This window comes from Homo sapiens, chromosome 19 (assembly GCF_000001405.40).
Source record: "Homo sapiens chromosome 19, GRCh38.p14 Primary Assembly".
Lineage (NCBI taxonomy): Eukaryota > Metazoa > Chordata > Mammalia > Primates > Hominidae > Homo > Homo sapiens.
In genome coordinates, this window is record NC_000019.10 from 21,698,178 (window position 1) to 21,703,507 (window position 5,330).

The 5,330-nt window shown below is 37.6% G+C and overlaps 1 annotated feature.

The window, feature by feature from the left end:
• Positions 650-1,150: an enhancer, noted in NCBI's record as "H3K27ac hESC enhancer chr19:21881629-21882129 (GRCh37/hg19 assembly coordinates)". NCBI's record gives its function as "activates a minimal SCP1, AML or CMV promoter by ChIP-STARR-seq in primed H9 embryonic stem cells {active_cell/tissue: H9 hESC(primed)}" and the evidence as "EXISTENCE:reporter gene assay evidence [ECO:0000049][PMID:30033119]".

Sequence of the window (5,330 nt, forward strand, 5' to 3'; positions counted from 1 at the left end):
GATGGTCTGTGGAAATAAAGAGTTGAATAATTAAAGGAAAGGCATTGCCAAGATTAACACTAAAGTTACTTTAGCCACCGGATGATGTATTTCTCCCAATCATATTGAAAGTTATAAAAATGGCCTAAACCTAAAAGTATTCCCTAATGGCAAGTCAAGGGGAAAATGTATGTTTTTCTCAAAGAAAATGTTACTTTTATATTAACGTTTCTGGTAATGTACAGCAACATCTAGTGGAGGCAAACCAGTATTACAATCCATTGGGACAACTAACAGGTGTAGAACTCTGCTATTATACCATAAGGTTGTATTACCCCACTAGCAGCGGTCATCTTAATATGAATATTCTAATCCTGTCTTCAAAACCTTCTGGTAAAAATTATCTCTTTTTTGCCTAGGTGCTGCAAACAGAGCCACACGAGGACACACCATTCTTTTTTTTTATTGTTTGTTTGTTTGATTTAAGACGAAGTCTCGCTCTGTCACCCAAGCTGGAGTGCAGTGGTGAGATATCGGCTCACTGCAACCTCCGCCTCCCAGGTTGAAGCAATTCTCCTGCCTCAGCCTCCCTAGTAGATGGGATTACAGGCACGCAACACCAAGTCTGGATAATTTTTGTGTTTTTATTAGAGATGCGGTTTCACCATGTTGGCCAGGCTGGTCTTGAATTCCTGACCTCAGGTGATTCACCTGCCTCGGCCTCCCAAAGTGCTGGGATTACAGGCATAAGCCACTGCACCTGGCCTGGACACACCATTTTTTTTCAAGAACTCTTAGATCAACCTCAGGAGGAGCCCTAACTGCTGTTCCCCAACATGATGGCCCTTTTCAGCAGGAAGTATCTTGAAAGATTCGTCATCTGACACCCCCTAACAGCAGTTAGGAATACGTCTCCTGAGGGGAGAATAATATAGGAGTTATTAAGAAATTATTTTAGGCATTTAGAGAGGGTAAAAGAGTTCTCTCACTAGAATTTTTCTTTAATAAAAAGCAGCCCCAAAGCCAATTCTTTTCTAACAGAAAACAGCCTGAAAAGTCAAGCTGCAAGCTGATAAGCAGGCTGGAGACTTTCATTTGTAAATGCAGGCGGCTGTATTAAAAGGCAAGTACATTTCAACAGAGGTGAATTCCTCCTCTTTTTTCTTTGACACCACTTGTGTGGGTGTCATGGCACCAGCCAGGTAAAGCCACGTGAGCAGGTATCATGGTGACAGGTAGAAGCTACATTTGCATAATAAAAGACTAGGGTGGGAGGGCCAGCCTTTGCATGGGTTATGTAAATGGCACACCTGGTCAACCAATCTCCTGTGCCCTATGTAAATCAATCACTGACTCCTCAAGCTTCTCTACAAAATCAATTGTGTTCTACCCGCAACCAGGAAATTTTTTAGGTGACCCTGTTTCTCAGCATGAGGAGCTTTCTCTCTCTCTGTTATTTTTGCCTATTAAACTTTCTTTTTTTTTTTTTTTTTTTTTTTTTGAGACGGAGTCTCACTCTGTCGCCCAGGCTGGAGTGCAGTGGCGCCATCTCGGCCCACTGCCAGCTCTGCCTCCCGGGTTCACGCCATTCTCCTGCCTCAGCCTCCCGAGTAGCTGGGACTACAGACGCCCGTCACCACGCCCGGCTAATTTTTTGTATTTTTAGTAGAGACGGGGTTTCACCGTGTTAGCCAGGATAGTCTCGATCTCCTGACCTCGTGATCCACCTGCCTCGGCCTCCCAAAGTGCTGGGATTACAGGCGTGTTGTCTATTAAACTTTCCACCCCAAAATCAATCCTCGTGTGTGTTCGTGTTCTAAATTTTCCTCGTGTGAGACAACAAACCCCAGGTATTTACCCCAGACAATGCAGCCATTTCAGAGTCTGGGAAATGAATCTTAGTCACAGAAAAAAAGAACAGCAATGAACATGGCAAGGTGCTTATGATTCTGGTCCACTGGATCTTCCTATCCCTAGGAAAGTAAATACCATCACAGTCAGCACCCAGCAAGTTACCACCATATAATTTCTTGTTTGTTCCAAAATAAATACAGGTGATTCTTATCACAAAGGCAAATAAAAAGTAGTTTACTTTTTAAACTGAACTGTATCAGTTTAGTTTACTCTTAAGTTCTTATAATTTTGAAAATGCAGTTGACACTTGTATGGCTTATGAAATTTTTGATAGTCTAACATTACTTGAATTGTTCAAAGAACAGTATATTTTAAATTAAGAAGAGTAAACTGTATGTGTTTGTTTCCTATATTTAAGGTTTAGAATCACAAATTACACTCCTGTTTATGATTTGAAAACTTCAAAGTTTGGTTTTTCCATCTGTACATACACAGAACAGTGTTATCGTGCTGAAACATTTGTATCTTAAGATGGCAGTCACAGTTTCCATCTGTCTGGATATATTTTGGACTTTTGCATGTTAAACATAAGAAAGAGACTTTTTGTTTTAGGTAATCTAAGACTGTTGTACACAAACTACAGATTACTGTAGGGTTCAGCAAACTATGTTTATAATGTGACATTAATATCTATTTTGATGTCTAAATCAAAACTTTTTTTAGAAATAATTTTTTTTTTACAAATATCTCCACAAATTCAGGTTTATTTTATAAAATGGCAGGATAGTAAAGAAATAGGTGGTTTGCCATAGTATATGAATACATGCACTTAATTAAAATACCAAATATTATAATCAAAATTTAGATAGCAGATTTAAATAATTTCTTGATTTTTCACTACAGGATAGAAATTCACAAATATTTTATAAATCAAAGCTATTAGTATTAGGTTTTACTTAGTAGTAATATATATATATATTCTGGGTATTTAAAAAATATATATATATTCTGGGTATTTGAAAACACCAAATTATTGATGAAAATGTCCATTTTGAACAAATTATTGATCATATATATCATACATCATACATACATATCATATATGCAATCATACATTATCATATATGTATGATGTATAATATATGATCAAGAATTTGTTCAAAATGGGTATTTTTCATCAATAATTTGGTGTTTTCAAATACCCAGAAGTCTTGTTTTAATCAGATTAACTCTAAGAATAGTTTACTAATTTTATTTTTTATGGTGTGTTCAAAATTTGATAGTTTAATATGGATTGATGATGGGTAAACTAATCAATTTCTTTTCAAATCTCATAGGCCTATTACATTGTCAAGGATGTTATTAATAAAAATTCTTTCTTTTAATATTGTTTACAGGGATTTAGGTCTAGTCTAATCTGCTCAACCTGTTAATCAGTGTCAGCTGCCAGATTCCAACTCATTTTTAGTGTGCCTATGTGACTTTTTCTCCATAGTCTCTGAATTACATTTTGATTAGTTATTGGAATATCATATAGCACAGCTCATACATTTAAAACAAAACCACCAGGTAAAATGAGTTCTGGTTTAGTATAAAGAAGCTGTCACCAAGTTAGTGTTACATACATAGATGGATGTGGCTCAACAAGATTTTAGACAAAAAAATTTGAATTGAACTATGGCAACGTGTGTTGCTATGACTTAGCCTCTAGTGGGCTTATGAACAAAGACAAATTTCAGCAAATTTATCCAGTTGCTTTCAGTATCTCTAAAGATAGTATGTCAAGAATTCTCATGCTACTGTCTGAAAAAACAGATTCTTCTCTTATCTAAGAAATCAACTGGATATATTTTTATAAGCTTGTGCAAGAAAAAACTGCAATGCAGTACTAATAATTACAGACGATATAATGTGGAAAAGAATAATCTAGAATGTCAATTTCAATATGTAAGTATTTAGGTTGGGCATGGGGACTCATGCCTGTAATCCCAGCACTTGGGAGGCTGAGTCATGTGGATCACTTTAGGTCTGGAGTTCAAGGCCAGCCTGGCCAACATGGTAAAACCCATCACTACTAAAAATACAAAAATCAAGCATGGTGGGAAGCACCTGTAATCCCAGCTACTCAGGAGGCTGAGGCAAGAGAATAGCTTGAACTCAGGAGACAGAGATTGCAGTGAACTGAGATTGAAGCACCGCATTCTAGCCTGAGTTACAGAGTGAGATTCTGCCTCAAAAAAAAAAAAAAAAAAAAAGTATTTAACCTTTCACTTGAAAAATGTGATAAAATTAAGTTTTTGGTAAGCTTTGTGTAGCTTAACATCAGCATAGAGTAGAAAAAAAATCTTTAAAAATGCAAACAAAAAGCTACACCAAAAAAACTAACATCTACCAGTGCATACATATTGATCTTTGTTTTGGGAGAGTCTAAAGCAAAACATTTGGTGAACTTGATACAGTTATTTTGATCACATTGGCATACTGATAAAATCATTTTATTTAATTTCACTGAAACATGTTCACATCTTAAAAATACTGTTTTGTAACATGAATGATAAATGTAAAGTCTTTATCCTCAAGAGGATCCTGATTCTCAAGATATATGGCAACCCGTGTCTCTGGTTTCTCCAAACTGAAGTTTCATGAAGGCTCAAACATGAAGTGAGAGGGAGTCAACAACAGAGCATGAGAAGCAAGAAGGATGAGGTAGGATGGTCAGCTCTAAGGCTCAGAGGTTCCTGGGGGACCCCAATATAATGATGTCAACTATGAAGCTCACTAGTAAACATAAACATAAAAAGCTGAGGCTGGGCATGGTGGCTCATGCCTGTAATCCCAGCACTTTGGGAGGCCTAGGCAAGCGGATCACAAGGTCAAGAGATCAAGACCATCCTGGCCAACGTGGTGAAACCCCGTCTCTACTAAAAATACAAAAATTAGCTGGGCATGGTGGCGCACACCTCTAATCCCAGCTACTCAGGAGGCTGAGGCACGAGAATGGCTTGAACCCGGGAGGTGAAGGTTGCAGTGAGCCGAGATCACACCACTGCATTCCAGCCTGGTGACAGAGTGAGACTCCATCTCAAAAAAAAAAAAAAAAAAAAAAGTTGAAAACTCCATGGCTTCTCTTTGGTGAGAAAAAGTCTCTGGAATTACAAACAGTCCTGCCAAAAGGATTGAGCCAGAATGACATGTATCTAAGGATTATTAAGGAGGAATGTTCATAAGCACATAAGTATTTGTTCCAAAACTTATTACAGTAGCAATATCCTTTTCTGTAATTTTAGCTTCCCCAAGGTAGGGTTGCTGTAGACAAACTAAGACAAGGCACTAATATGTTGAAGGCAATTAGTTTCTAAATTTAAAAAACTTGCAATTTTTTTTTTTGAGATAGAGTCTCGCTCTGTCACCCAGGCTGGAGTGTGGTGGCACAATCTCGGCTCACTGCAACCTCTGTATCCCAGGTTCAAGCAAGTCTCCTGCCTCAGCCCTCCAAA